General features: G+C 35.8%; 1 long non-coding RNA gene across 1 annotated transcript in view, besides 1 other annotated feature; it reads left to right on the forward strand.

Annotated features, from left to right (window-relative positions):
- Nucleotides 1-1,213, forward strand: part of LOC107986841 (uncharacterized) — a 66,127-nt gene extending 64,914 nt beyond the window's left edge. The window contains exons 3-4 of the long non-coding RNA XR_002956584.2: nt 614-649; nt 949-1,213. This is a non-coding gene — a long non-coding RNA (uncharacterized LOC107986841). The remainder of the gene's footprint in view (nt 1-613; nt 650-948) is intronic.
- Nucleotides 7,160-7,360: a silencer, noted in NCBI's record as "peak6707 fragment used in MPRA reporter construct". NCBI's record gives its function as "represses an SCP1 promoter by STARR-seq MPRAs in K562 erythroleukemia cells {active_cell/tissue: K562}" and the evidence as "EXISTENCE:reporter gene assay evidence [ECO:0000049][PMID:32103011]".

Raw genomic sequence — 15,284 nt, forward strand, 5'->3', positions numbered from 1 at the left:
TAATCACCTCCATTTTTAGCATGCAGCCATGATAAGAGGAAGCCAGTGATGGATTCACCAGCTTTTCTGAAAATCAGGCTGATAGAACACCCTATGCACCTCTGTAGACCTCAGACTTTCCACACATACGTTTTTTGCGGGCATATCTGAGTTTCCAGTTTCTGGCTCTTGTTCAGACTTGAACATATGCTATATACAGTGAAAAGTGGTTGGATTCTAGAAGGTGTCGAAGTTTACTAGCTCAGATAAAGATCGGCCTGTTGCTTTTTTGTTGATTACCTTTTCTTCCCCTTTAATTCCCTTTTATACTTGTTCCTGTAATCTAAGGAAGAACATTTCATTTTTCTATAGAAGGAGATGCTTATGCAGAGCCAAATGAACCATTGCCCTGTTCTATTTTCTGATGATATGCATTTTTAGTGACATAAGAAGAGAAAATCTTATTGATTTAGCATTCAATAAGAGTAAAATGATAAAATATTCAAATAAATATTTCAGTGTTTGAAAATGGTATAGAATCTATTGTTTGGAAAAATCTTTGGGCTTATCTGAAATAACTTTCTATTTTATTTCTTTAAAAACTTGACAAACGTTTACTTCTTTTGCATTACAGGTCATAGGAAATGAAACAGACTGCTGTTTTCATGAGGTAATATTGTTCCTCATCTCATTAGCTTTCTTTGTTTGGATGGCATGAATTTTGACCAAAACACGTTTTTTTTTCCCAAGTAGTTGTAAGCTGCTAACACTATCAAAAAGGAAATTTAATAATAAATATATTGGTATTTTTATTTATCACATTGAAGTTTTCATTTTTCTTTGAGATTTTAGCTAAACGTCAGTGATAAATATGATGAAAAAACAAATGATGGTTCAGAAAAATCATGTCATTTTATTTTCCTGTGTATGTCTTAGTTTCTTTTTTGACTGTGTGATTGTTTTTCTTAGAAGCATTTACAGAGGGAAATAAGGACACTCACCAAATAGGGCTAATTTGAAGAAGGACACAGCTGACTTAGTAGGAAGAAGGCAGAAGAATTATCTCCTGGTAATCAAGACTCTGAAAATAAGACTTAAGATAAAAGACTGGATACATGCAAGAACAGAGTTCTTAAAGATCACCAGCTGAAGATTGTGATTTTTCATTCTTCTATGCCCTAAGACAGCCATATTTTACCATTTGAAACATAAATAAAAATGACTTCCAGGCTTATTTGATTACAGACTGAATTGCTCTATCATAGGATGACAAGCAATGACAGATAGGTTCCCCATAAAGAAAAGTCTGTGAGACTCCATATTTCCTGTAAAAGATGATATGAGGAAACCGGGCAGATTTTTCTTTCATTCATACTCTTTTATATGGGGGCAATAGTACTGTCAATCTCTATTATATCATTAGGTTACCTGGAAGGTCTTATGTTTGGCAGTGGAATGTAAGTTTTAGGGTAATTTTTCTGAGTGGCAACCCAAGGCCAATGTAGTAAATTTTGAAAGATCAATTAAATTACAGAAAAGGCTTGCATAACATAAATGTGTTCTGCCCACTTGTCAACATGGGTAAAGATATTAATATTGTAACAAGTGCAATGACAGAATTTCATTTTCAGACTCCAGACTTCTTAACAGTAGCAGTGGCAAGGCATCAAACCAGTGAGTTTTGCTTCTTTAATAGTTTCTATAAAACTTGACAGCCTTTCTGTACATTGCAAATACTCTAAAACCACATTGACTTTATACATTAGCTAAACTGCCTAGGAACTTTTTCTAGATACAACTAATTCCTGAAGGTGAAGAAGACAGTGTGAGTATTGCAAGATCATGGATGCAGTTCTTCGAGGTAAAGGCTGTTTTACTCACATTTGTGATGTCCTGTTTGTCACATAAAAGAAAGTCAATAGATGCTTCACTGATTGAATGTATAAAGCTGTGAGCTATGAAATTTCTCTGAAGAAAAAGGTGAAAAGTCTGAATTCTTCTTGTGCACCTCAAGTGATAGTCATTGTTAAGTAAACCTAAGTGGCATGAAAGTGTAGGGTCAAGGATGATAAAAGGGACATTTTAAAATTATATTTAAACAGGAGGTGCCATGGCATAATATTTTCAGTTTAGAATCAAAAAAGAAAATGACTTTTTCTGCCAAAGACAAAAGTGTAAATCTGTTTCCTTCTCCACCATATGCCACAAATAAAAAAAAAAAAAAATCACAGATGTCAAAGAGAACACAGGCTGGAGGAAGCCATCCAGCTACAAGGACCAGTAAATAGTCAAAACCCATTCCTAGCTCAACAGTAAAGCAAAATCCAATATTTAATAAGCATAGCAGAGAGGAGGAGAGTTGTAAGATATGTACTTAAATTTTACCTGCATGCACATATGTCTTCAGACCTTCAGATTTGCTCTCACTCCTGGATCCAAAGTTCTGTTCTCTACATAATTTTTGTATTGTTCTAATTTTTCCTTTAGAACTTATGTCAAGCATCATGCATTCTTCCCTGATTTTTTTTTTTTTTGGAGCAATCTTCTCAACTCCTCCCAACAGCATATTACATATGCCTCTCTTTCTCCATTTGCTTTTACTCCAGTTAGAATTTGGGAGCCCAACAGGATTATATCTTGTTTGTAATAGCTGCTCTAGCTCCTAGCACACCATTTGACACATAAAGGTAATAAACAAATATTTATTAAGTAGTTGTTAATTAAATCCAAAACTTGGTAACAAAAACACATTATCAAATAAATGAACATCTCCCAGCAGGCAAAGAGGACCTAACAATCATTGAAAACATGACAAGTCTAGGAAAAGAAACCAGAAGAGAAGAAAAATGAAAATCTTCTGTATTCCCATATTTGATTTTTCCAATTCGTACAGCTGATAAACTATCCAGTCTAAAGGCAGTGTCATTGTTAGTGCATTAAAATACTGTAATCCCAACACTTTGGGAGGCCAAGGTGGGTGGATCACCTGAGGTCAGGAGTCCAAGACCAGCCTGGCCAACATAGCGAAACCCTGTCTCTACTAAAAATACAAAAATTAGCTGGGTGTGGTGGTGGGCACCTGTAATCCCAGCTACGTGGGAGACTGAGGCAGGAGAAACATTTGAACCCAGGAGGCAGAGCTTCCAGTGAGATGAGGTAGTGCCATTGCACTCCAGCCTGGGCGACAAGAGCAAAACTCCACCTCAAACAAACAAAAACATAAAATAAGGCTAACTGAGGACTTTATCTATCTTATTTAACATATAAAATATATTAATGTGAAGTTGTACATAATAACTTGTGATTTTTTAATACCGAAGCATCTGTATCAGTTTACTTTGTTCTACTTCTTTTTTCTTTATTAGTTTCACCAGTAGTGTATCACTGTTATGAGTCTTTTCAAATAATCAAAATTTACTTTGATTCTTTCTATTGTATGTTTATTAATAATTCATTAACTTTAGTTGTTATTTCCTTCCATTTTCTTTGAATTAAATTTGTTGCTATACTTTCAATTTTTGAGACAAATACATAGAACATTCCATTACACCCTTTCTTCTTTACTAATATATATATTTAAGTCTAGAAAAATTCCTCTGAGCACAGACTTAGCTGCATCCACAGGTTTTGATTCAGTTTTAAAATTTCCCATTTTTTATCCATGTATATTTAGATATACATTTTAAATTATAAACCATTGGCTATTTTCTAGCTAGTTATATTGAGTTTGAGCTTAATTCTAACATAGCCAGAGAACAAAACCTTTTTAGTTAACTCTTGGAAATCTGTTGATACTTGCTTTTTTCTTTCCAATTTTCTTAAGTGATTTCTTGAAAAGATTGTGTAATGTAGTCTTTGAGCATTTAAAGGTTTAATGTAGGTTAGATCAAAACTGATTTATATTCTTACTGATTTTTTTGTCTGCATATTCTATCAGTTACTGATAAAAAGCATGTTATCATTTTCCTTTATGATTATGGTTTTGTCTATTATTTTTTCTTAATGCTTTCAAATTTTAATATAATTAGAACTGTGTGATAATTTTCTGGCTGACTGATGACTTCATCATTATGAAAGGTTTTTATTGCTTTTCATAACAATTTTTGCTTTGAATTCTTCTTTGATGCAAGTATAGCTAGGCCAGCATTTTTTGTTGTTTGCTTGTGGTTAGTATTTGCACAGTATATCATTTTTTATCACTAAAGGTGTATACCTCATAAACAAAGCTGAGGGCTTTTATGGTGTTTGTCTTTGTAATGGGCTGAATTGTCTCTTAAAAAAATTCATGTTGAAGCCCTAACCCCCAGTACCTCAAAATGTGATTGTATTTGGAGAAGGGTCTTTAAAAAGGTAATTAAGTCAAAATGAGGTTATTAGGCTGGGCCTTAATCCAATATGACTTGTGCACCTATAATAAGAGAAAATCTGGGCACAGACAAAGGGAAGACCATGTGAAGACATAGAGAGAAGGTAACTGTCTACCGGCTGCAGAGAGAGGCCTTAGAAGTCTAAGTCTAAGCCTCTCTCCATAGCTTGTATCTTGATCTTGGACTTCTAGCCGCCAGAACTGTGAGAAATAAATTTGTATTGTACAAACCACCCAGTCTGTGGCGCTTTGTCATGGCAGCCTTAGCAGACTAACAAAGTCTTCTAATTGGATTATTTGTGTTTCACTCAGAATGTGTAGACTAAGATAATTACTAATCTATTGGTATGAATTTGCTATCTTATTTGTTTTCTATATTTCATAGACTTTTTCTATGTTTCTTTGAGTTAATAATATTTATTTTACTTTTCTCGTCTATTGGTTATTAATTACATATCGCTTTACTATTTGTTTACTGACCACTCAAAAAAGCGTGTCTTCTTGACTTAAAGTCTTCTTGAATTAAAGTCTAACATACTAATACTTTTATAACCTACCAGCAATGCTAGGACCTTAGAAGCTCTCTCACCTTTTATGATGTTACTGCCATACATTTTATTTCTCAATTTATTTAAACCCCTCTATTACTGTTGTTTTAAAAAGTCAGTATTCTTTTAGATTTGCTCACATATTTACACTCTCCTTTATTCTTTATTTTTTTCTGCTCCACTGTTATTTTTGGAAGCATTTTCATTTTCTGTATGAGCTTCTATTGCCTGAACTGCTGTAATAGTTTTCTAACTGAGCTGTCTCCTTATACCCTTTGCCCCATACTCCCCATAGCTTATTTTCAGCATAGGAGTCAGGATGATTTCCATAAAACCTAAAATCATGTCACTCCTCCGCCTATTTCACTCACAGTAAAAATTTAAGTTCTTCTTTGGCCTACAAGGCCCTTCATGTTTTAGAATCCTTTTGTGTCCCTGACCTTGTATGCTTTCTCCTTTTTATGCATTGGGCACAATCTGTTTTACATCTAACAGTCATGCTCCTACTTCAAGGCTGTTGCACTGCCTGGAATGCTTTCCCTTAGCGAATCTGCAAATCTCTCCCCTTCATCTTCTTCTTGTTCTGCTTATAACCATTTTAGGGAAATACATAGACTAAATGTATTACCTACTTTTTAGTAAAAAACAATCAAAAGCTGATATCAGAATATTCAGAGCACTATATGTTAGTGTTTTTTATGTTATGAACTGTTTTCAAAACTCCCAAGTTGTAGGTTCATTTATTTTCAATAAATCATTTATTCCTTTTCATCAAATTCCAAGATAAAGAATTCATAATTGTTATAACTTTGCCACATTTAGATACTTTCCTGAATACTATTTGAATTTTGGCGCTCGGTGGGCACAAAACAGGAAAGTAGTATTTCTTACTTAGTAAATATAGATAAAAGTTTATTTTTGCCAGGGTAAATTAGATGTTGTATTTATAGCCCTGGCACCAATTGCCTGTAATTAAGGTTAGGAACATTAACTGAGCAACTTCTATGAACCACACATTGCTTCAAGTATTTTTATTTAAATAATTCTATTTAATTATGTTAACAACTCTTTGATATGTTTATTCCTCTTTGAGGAATACTATTTCTGCTTTATAGATGAGAAATTCTGACTTAATAATTAACTATCTGTGCCTTCTGGCATGTCTACTTCTTATTTTTCTGTTCTGTACATGAAAGTTGGTTGTTAACCTCTCAGATTCTGAGTTTAGAGGATAGAAAATCAACCACTTGCCATAAAAGTAACTTCGGCCTGGTCGATTTATCTCCTCAGGCCAGGGTTTCCTCTTCTGCAAACAGTAAGGACTGTAATAACTGTAATTTTTATACAGCGATCTTTCTGATTCCACTGAACCAGAGCAGAGTAGAGGCAAAAGCATTCAGACTTTGCCTCTAATGTTTCATCAAATCTTACTTTTTTCTTTGCTAACTTTCTCTGGCTGCTATGATCCTTCCAATTTCCCCTAAAGGCCAGAGAAAAAAATTGGTGGAGAATGGGCAACAAATGATTGTATTTGGAGTTTCCATACACAGGAAATTCATTTTTTGATTCAGAAGTAATTATTCTATTGAATATCAGACTGCCATAACTTGAATAATTATAGCAAACAAATTCCAGCATTTTAACCATTTAAAAATAGTTTTTGCCCACCGCAATGTTTTATTTTAGCCTTTAAGCAATTCTATGAGGTAGAACTCATCATTATTGTCATATTATAGATGAGCAAACAGGTTCAGTAAAATATCTGTGCAAAACTTCACTGTTGCAAAACTCCAAATATAGCATTTTTCTTATACCACCTGGCTACTAATAAAAAAAATGAGAGACTGCTATTAATTTGTCTGATTGTAGTTGACATGGAAAGGAAGAAAATAAATAAGGTAATGCAGCAATTTTCTTTAGAGAATATAGAGAATTGAATGAGCTTTCCTAATCTTAACACAAAGCCTTCCCTTTATTTGATATGTATTTTAGGCCAGGGAAAGAAATAACTGATTCATTTTTGCTTCAGAAGTAGCATGAATTAAAAGATGGAAGTATTCTTTCTTGATAACTTTGTTACTGTTTTCCTTATCCAATTTTATGTTTGAAGTAAAAATCAGAACACTTTTCCTTTGCCACATCGATAAATGATGATTTGTTGATTTTGTTTTTAACCTGGAGAGTTTCTTTGTAGATGTACTATTTTATACATCTTTATAGATCATATTTCAGGGAAATGTTGTGGGTGTAATCCTTAAAATTAAACTCACATGTTTTTCAGCACATGTGCTTGTCTTGCTCAGTTTGGGTTGCTATAACAAACACCATAGATGGAGTGGCTTAAACAATGGACATTTACTTTTCACAGTTGTGGAGGGTGAGAAATCCAAGATCAAGGCTCTGATAGCTTTGGTCTGGTGAGGGTGCACTTCCTGATTTGTAGATGGACAACTCCTTGCTGTATCTTCACATGGATGAAGAGAGAGAGAGAGAGAGAAAGAGAGAGAGAGAGAAGCAACCTCTCTTGTGTTTCTCTTAAAAGGGCACCAAATTCATCATGAAACCTCTACCCTGGTGATCTAATTACCTTCTAAGGGCCCTGTCTCCAAACACCATCACACTAGGGATTAGGGTTTCAACATATGAATTTGGGGGAGACATAAACATTCAGTTAAAAAACACACATGTGAACAAAAATTAGAAAATAAGATATCATTTTTTCTTTTATCCAGGGAAAATAACCAATTATTCTCATGACTATCTTATTATATACAAATTAAATGTATAATTATAAAAATGGAATCCATCTGTATGTACTATTTTTAATCTTCTTTTTTTACCTAAACATATTTTACAATTCTTCCTAAGTAATCATATATATATTTTTGTACACTTTTTTTGTTATATTTGCATTTACCAGTAATTTTCCTCAATGATATTTTTCTGTTTTGCCATCTTGGGTGATTGGTATGGTGAATTTTGTTTTATTCTATTTTCTGCTTTTTTTTTACAGTGACCTGTTCTCGAGCCTAAGAATCTCTTGGGCCACCCAGCCCCACAGAGGCCAGTAGGAGGTCAACTCTCCACCTCCCTAAAAAAAAAAGTATGTGCACAGTAACTCCATGTGGCACTGCATTCCTTGCTAGAGGTTAGAGGGGTAGGTACTACTGAACTGTGACTTTGGGAAAAACACTTGGATTCATGGAAGCAAGTGGGGGTCCCAAGAGCCCACCCATACTTCTGAGACAGACCCTCTCCTGTGTTCTTCTGTCTTCAAGAAGGACAGGCAGCCCTCCCATCACTGGAAATCTGCAGTTAAAGTCACTGTCAGTGGAGATAACACTATAAAATAAGTGTGGGCTGGGTGTGGTGGCTCATGCCTGTAATCCCAACACTTTGCGAGGCTGAGGCTGAGGCTGGTGGATCACTTGAGGTCAGGAGTTTGAAACCAGCCTGGGCAACATGGTGTAACTCTGTCTCTACTAAAAATACAAAAATTAGCTGAGCATAGTGGCACACGCCTGTAATCCCAGCTACTTGGGAGGCTAAGGCAGGAGAATTACTTGAACCTGGGAGACAGAGGTTGCAGTGAGCTGAGATTGTGCCACTGCACTCCAACCTGGGCAACAGAGTGAGATTCCACCTCAAAAAAAAAAAAAAAAAAAAAAAGAGGTGTGCATGTGTGTGTGTGTGTGGACATAGATGCATGCATGCATGTACACTCCAAAGGTCCAGCTGCATATCTTCTCTGTGGCCGGATGGGGAGACAGATACTGGAGTCTCAATTTCTGCAGCAAATAACAATTGCCCCTGGACCACTGCTTCTTTTCTAGACGCTATTTATGTTGTCATTGTGTAACACTCTAACCCGTGTCCCCACCTGGAAACAGATGGTCTCTGTTCTGGGAGGTGACACCATGGCACCAGGGATACAACCATGGCCTAAAGAATCAGGGTACTGCCTGGTCAGTACAGCCCTGCCCTGCCCCGCCCTGCCCTGCCCACCCCGCCTCAAGTTTGTTTCACAATTAAAATATTGCCTTGTTTAAAAGAAATGTGCATAGTAACTCAGAAAAAATGCATAAAATATAAAGGAACAGCTTAATGTGTTATTTTAAAGTAATCTCATGTAAACACCAGGTGTAAACCTCACCCCGATGCATGTCTGCTTAACCTCTGGTCCTCCACAGAACATAAAGACATTAACTAAAGGTAACTTGATATGACAGCATAGAAAGGGTGGTTAAAGAAAGAGAGTATGAAAAGAAATCACAAAATTAGAAAAAAGAGGGTAAAAAAAGGAGGTCATAGGAGAGAGTTGTGTCATGCTAGATAAGAAAATAGTTAAAAACAAAGGAGAAAGTAATGCAAAGCTCCAGCATCCTCAAATAATCTCGGAAAATGAAGGCTGAGACTTGTCCAATGCGTTTGGAAATAAACAGGAAATCGATGACATTTTTTGCATAATAATTTGGTAGATAAAATGAAGGAAGGTCCTCAGACTTCAGTGAAGTGAATAGAAAGTGAAGAAATATACAGTTTTCTTTCAAAAAAAGATAAAAAGGTATTTCATGGTTATGGATTGGAAGAATTAATGTTATCAAAATGATCTCTATCAAAATACCAATTACATTCTTCACAAAAATGGAAAAAAAATCCTAAAATTTGTAGGAAACAACAAATGATTCTAGATAGCCAACACAGTCCTGAACAACAACAACAAAAAAACTGGTGGCATCACACTATCTGACTTCAAAATATACTACAAAGGTATAGTAACCAAAACAGCATGGTACTGGCATAAAAACAGGCACATAGAACAATGGAACAGAATACAGAACCCAGAAAGTGATCCATGGATTTACAGCCAACTTATTTTTTATAAAGGCACCAAAACACATCCTTCAATAAGTGGTGGGAAAACTGGATATTCATAAATGTAGAAGAATGAAACTACAGCATATCTTTCACCATATATGGGAGTCAAACTAAAATGGATTAAAGCCTTAAATGTAAAACCTTAAACTGTGAAACTACTAGAGAAAACATTAGGAAAGAACTTCAGGACATTGGCCTAGGCAAAAACTTTTTGGGCAAGACCTCAAAAGCAATGGTGACAAAAGCAAAAATAGACAAATGAGATTATATCAAGTTAAAAGCTTCTGCACAGCAAACAATCAATAAAGTGAAGAGACAATATATAGAATAGAAAAAATAATTGCAATCTATTCATACAAGGGATTAATATGGGCAAATGATCTGAATAGATTTTTCTCACAAGAAGACATGGCCAAGGGTATATGAAAAAATGCTCAACATCACTAATCGCGGAAATGCATATTAAAACCACAATGAGATATCTCATCCTAATTAAAATGGCTGTTATTACAAACACAGAAAATAACAAATGCTAGCAAGGATGTAGAGAAAGGGGATCCCTTGTACACAGTTGGCGGGTATGTAAATAAGTACATGATATGGTTTGGCTGTGTCCTCACCCAAACCTCATCTTGAATTGTAGTTTCTATAATCCCCAAGTGTTGTGGAAGGGACCCACTGGAAGGTAATTGAATCATGGGGGTGGTTACCCTCATGCTGTTCTCCTGATAGCGAGCAAATTCTCATGAGAGCTGATGGTTTTATGAGGGGATTCTCCCCTCCCCCTTTGCTCTGCACTTCTCTTTGCTACTGCCATGTGAAGAACGACATGTTTGCTTCCCTTTCTGCCATGATTGTAAGTTTCCTGAGACCTCCCTGGCCCTGCAGAACTGTGAGTCAATTAAACATCTTTCCTTTATAAATTACCCAGTCTCAGGTATTTCTTCATAGCAGTGTGAGAACGAACTAATACAGTGTGCCACTGTGGAAGACAGTATGGAGGTTCCTGAAAAAACTAAAAATAGAACTGCCATATGATTCAGCAATTCCACGATTAGATATATATACACAATATAAAAAATAAATATATTGAAGTGATATCAGCACTATGTTTATTGCAGCACTATTTACAAAAGCTAAGATATGGAGTCAACCTGTGTCCATCAAGGGATGAATAAATGAAGAAAATTTATTTATACTCAATGAAATAGTATTTTGTCATAAAAAAGAATGGCACCCTATCATTGTCAGCAGCATGAATGGAATGAGAGGACCTTATGTTAAGTGAAGTTAGCCAGGCACAAAAAAACAAACATTGCATGTTCTCACTCACTAAAAAATTGATCTCATGAAGGTAGTAAATAGAATGATAGTTGACAGAGGCTGGGAAGAGTTCTGAGGAGGAGGAAATGAAGAGGAGTTGGTTAATGGCTATAAAAATACAGTTTGATAGAAGGAATAATTTCTAGTGTCTGATAGCATAGCGTGGGGACTATGATTAACACTAATTTATGGTATATTTCAAAATAGCTAGAGGTTTGGAATGTTTCTACATAAGGAAATGATAAATTTTTGAGGTGATGATGGATATCCTAATTACCCTAATTTGATTATTATGCATTGTATGTATGTGTATGTGTAATAATCAAAATATCCCATGTACTTCATAAATATGTTCAACTATTACGTATTAATAAAAAAGAGAAGAAGTATATCAGAGAAAAAAAGAAACAGAAATCAATGTCCAGAAGGGGATTTTTTTTACAGTTTTTGAACAATTTTTATTTCAATAGCTTTTTGGGTACACGTGTTTTTTTTGGTTACATGGATCAATTATATAGTGGTGAATTGTGCTGCTATAATTATGAGATTTTTAGTGCACCCTTCACTCATGTAGTGTACATTATACCTAATGTGTAAAGTTTTTTTTTAATTTCTAGCTCCCCTCCCCCTTATGAGTCTCTAATGTTCATTGTGTGACACTGTGTACCTTTGCTTATTCATAGCTTATCTTCCACTTATAAATGAGAACGTAGGATATTTGGCTTTCCACGTCTATGTTACTTTACTTAGAATAATGGCCTCTAGCACCATCCAAATGGCTCTAGAAGACATTCTTTTGTTCCTTTTCAATGGCTAAGTAGTATTCTATGGTGGATATAAACACATTTTCTTTATTCATTCATTCGTCGATGGGCACTTAGGTTGGTTCCACATCTTTGCAATTGTCATCGTGCTGCTATAAATATAAGTGTGCAAATGTCTTTTTCATATAATAACATCTTATCCTTCGGGTAGATACCCAACAGTTAGATTGCTGGATCAAATGGTAGCTCTACTTTTAGCTGTTTAAGGAATCTCCATACTGTTTTCCATAGAGGGGATTTACTCACAGAAGTTTATTGTAGTTGTATTACTTGTTTTCTTATTTGTTAGAAGAGAGGTTAAGTATCTCTGTAGTCAGAGGGGAGGAGCAAACAAGTAGTAAAGTGTTGCAAGTGAGAACCGCAGCAGAGTGTTGAAGACAGGAAACATGCAATCAGGGCATAGAGAGGGAGATAAGTTATGAATAGAGGAAAATGGAGTGAAAGAGGAACCATAAGATATGCAGGATGGAGATCATTTGAAGTTAAGGGTGTTCTCTATCTGGCTCCTGTTTCCTCAGTGAAATAATTTGCAAGGACATTTACTAATGTTGATAAGGGCAGCCTCGGAGTTTTCGAATATTTTAGCGAGACAGGAGATGATATAATAGAAGTAAGATAAAATGAAACACAGGTGTTGAGAAACCAAAGGAAGTTGGAAAACACTCATTGGTATTTGCACCAATCTGAAGGTTGTGTGACCTTTTTCCTGCCGCACTTAAGCAGATCAGGGTAGGGAAATGTGGAGTTCTTTGCGGTAATATGGGGCAAATGGGCAAGGGAGATAGGGCATATTCTTACTTTACATGATCAATTATGGAGTCTAAACAGGGTAGGGAGGAAAGTAAGACAAGAGGTATACTGAGGAGAGGGAAGGACCAAGGGATTTGCGATTTGTGGTCAAAAATCAAAGTATCCTGAGTGAAGCACTGAAACACTGAAACCAGATGAGCTTGTGGTTAGAGTTTAGGAATTTTTTTTTTTTTGAGACGGAGTTTCACTCTTGTTGCCCAGGCTGGAGTACAATGGCGTGATCTCGGCTCACTGCAACCTCTACCTCCTGGGTTCAAACTATTCTCCTGCCTCAGCCTCCCAAGTAGCTGGGATTACAGGCACGCACCACCATACTCGGCTAGTAGAGACAGGGTTCCTCCATGTTGATCAGGCTGGTCTCGAACTCCCCACCTCAGGTGATCCGCCTGCCTCGGCCTCCCAAAGTGCTGTGATTACAGGCACGAGCCACCATAAGCTTTTACATACAGGAAGATAAAAGTATTGGTGTGTGTTTTAGTTCATTCAGGCTGCTATAAGTAAACATGATAAACTGGGTGCCTTATAAACAAGAGAAATTTATTTCTCACCGTTCTGGAGGCTAAGTCCAAGATCAAGGGACCAGCGAGACTGTCAGCTGCAGGCCAGATTTCTGGTTCAAAGGTAGAAACTTTCCGCTCTTTCCACTGTCTACTCACATAGTGGGAGGAGCTAGGGATTTTTCTGGGGCCTCTTCTATATGGCCACTAATCCCACTCATGAGAGTTCCACCCGATTGAGTTAATCTTCTCCCAGAGTCTCCACCTCCTAATACTATCACCTTGGAGGTTAGGATTTCAACATATGAATTTTAGGAGGACGTAAGTATTCAGTTCATTGCACTATTACTACATGAGAAAAAAATATGTTGACTTTTCTCTAGCATTGTTTAAAAACCTGTTTTAAAGAGGAATTAGGCTAAAATTGTGTTTAGAGATGAAGCACTGATTGATGCCTGTAGATTTATAGTACATTTGTCTGGACAGTAGTAAGTTCCTAAGCTATCAGAAATTTGGTAATAAGGTTGATGATATGCTGATTATTTGTAATCAGCATTACAAGTGATAATGCTGATTATTTGAAAGCCAAAGTTTCTTAGGGAATTCTTAGGGAATTCCTAAGCTTAAAGAAATTAATAAAATAAAAAATCAGCTGAGATTTTGTCTTGTTAATTTAGAAAACACTTTTTAAGCTGTCTTTCTAAAAATCTCTGGAGTTACCTCACAGGAATATGTGTGTTGCAACAATACATTTGTAGCATGCATAACACAGAAGGAAAAAGAGAAGGAAATTAGTTTTCGAAATTGCTAATTCAAGTTGAGCATAAAAATATCCAGTGACCTGGCACCATTCTGTCAATTTTCCTCTCACTTCCTGTGTTGGTAGAGATGTGTACACCCTAAATGGATGGGTGAAAGCTATTAGCAATCTGTCATAAAAAGAAATTGATTTTTTTTTAATTTTAAAAATGCATCTTACCCAGGAGCTCTTTGGTGCTTTACAGAGATGGAAAGACTCAATAATTTATTTATAGTAAGTTCAGAGCTAGGCAAGGGCAATCAAAAAATTTCTTGCACAGTACAGGGATGATTTACTAAGAGAAAACTAAGAGAATGCTGGAAGTAGTTATCACATGCAAATCCTCTCATTTGTTTAATATAAATATATATCTAACTTATCTGTGGCTGATTATCCATGTATTTAAGTCACTTTAGCAAAAATGTCAAACATAAAAAATGTAAAGTGTTATTGCAGATACTTTTTGTTATAAATTATAAAGGCAATAGACTGTACAACTAAGATCAAATACATATTATCAAATGGTGTCAAAATTTGGTGTGCCCTGGCATTTTAACTGTTTGATTTATTAAGAGTGTTTTTTACTCTTAGTAGTGTAATTTCTTAGAGATAGATACGTTCTTTGCATTTTAATTTTTGAACTTGAAGCCCATGTTAACAGCACATTGCCTGGGCTTCCTGCCTGTATGCTTGCCTTCTTTTTTTCATTATTCCTCTTTTTTATTCATTTCTTTCGAATAATTTAGTCTAAAAGCCTGATGATGAGGCCAAGGAAGGTAGATTTCCAAGTACGGTGGGTGGCTCTCCTGTCAGAGTTTAGAGCTCGAGCAAGGGAAGTGCCAGGGGTTGAAGCCCAAGTGAGGAAAGTGGTCATCTTGGGTTGTAGCCTAGTGAGGTCAAAAGATTGGTTACATAAGTGATATTGATAAAATTGGTACATGTGTTTAGAACAGTGGGAGTTAGGTTTCTCACTGACAGAGAAAAAGTTATAAATATGGAAAGATGAAAAAATACAATAAGCATTCTGTGCTATATTGGAGTTGAAAGCGTCAGAGGGAACATATAATTTTAATATGTATAGATAAGTGTAGAAAAGCATAGGTGTGTGTGTGTTTTCTAGCGTGGCTCACTAAAAGGGCCTGGTAGCATTGACATTTCAATCACAATGAGCACACGTAGTGCCAGATCTTGGCTTCTAAAGATCATTCTCCACTAAGAGAAATCAGAGCTTCTTGGAGAAATGGCTAACTTCAGGGTAGT

The sequence above is a fragment of the Homo sapiens genome, chromosome 7, assembly GCF_000001405.40.
Source record: "Homo sapiens chromosome 7, GRCh38.p14 Primary Assembly".
Lineage (NCBI taxonomy): Eukaryota > Metazoa > Chordata > Mammalia > Primates > Hominidae > Homo > Homo sapiens.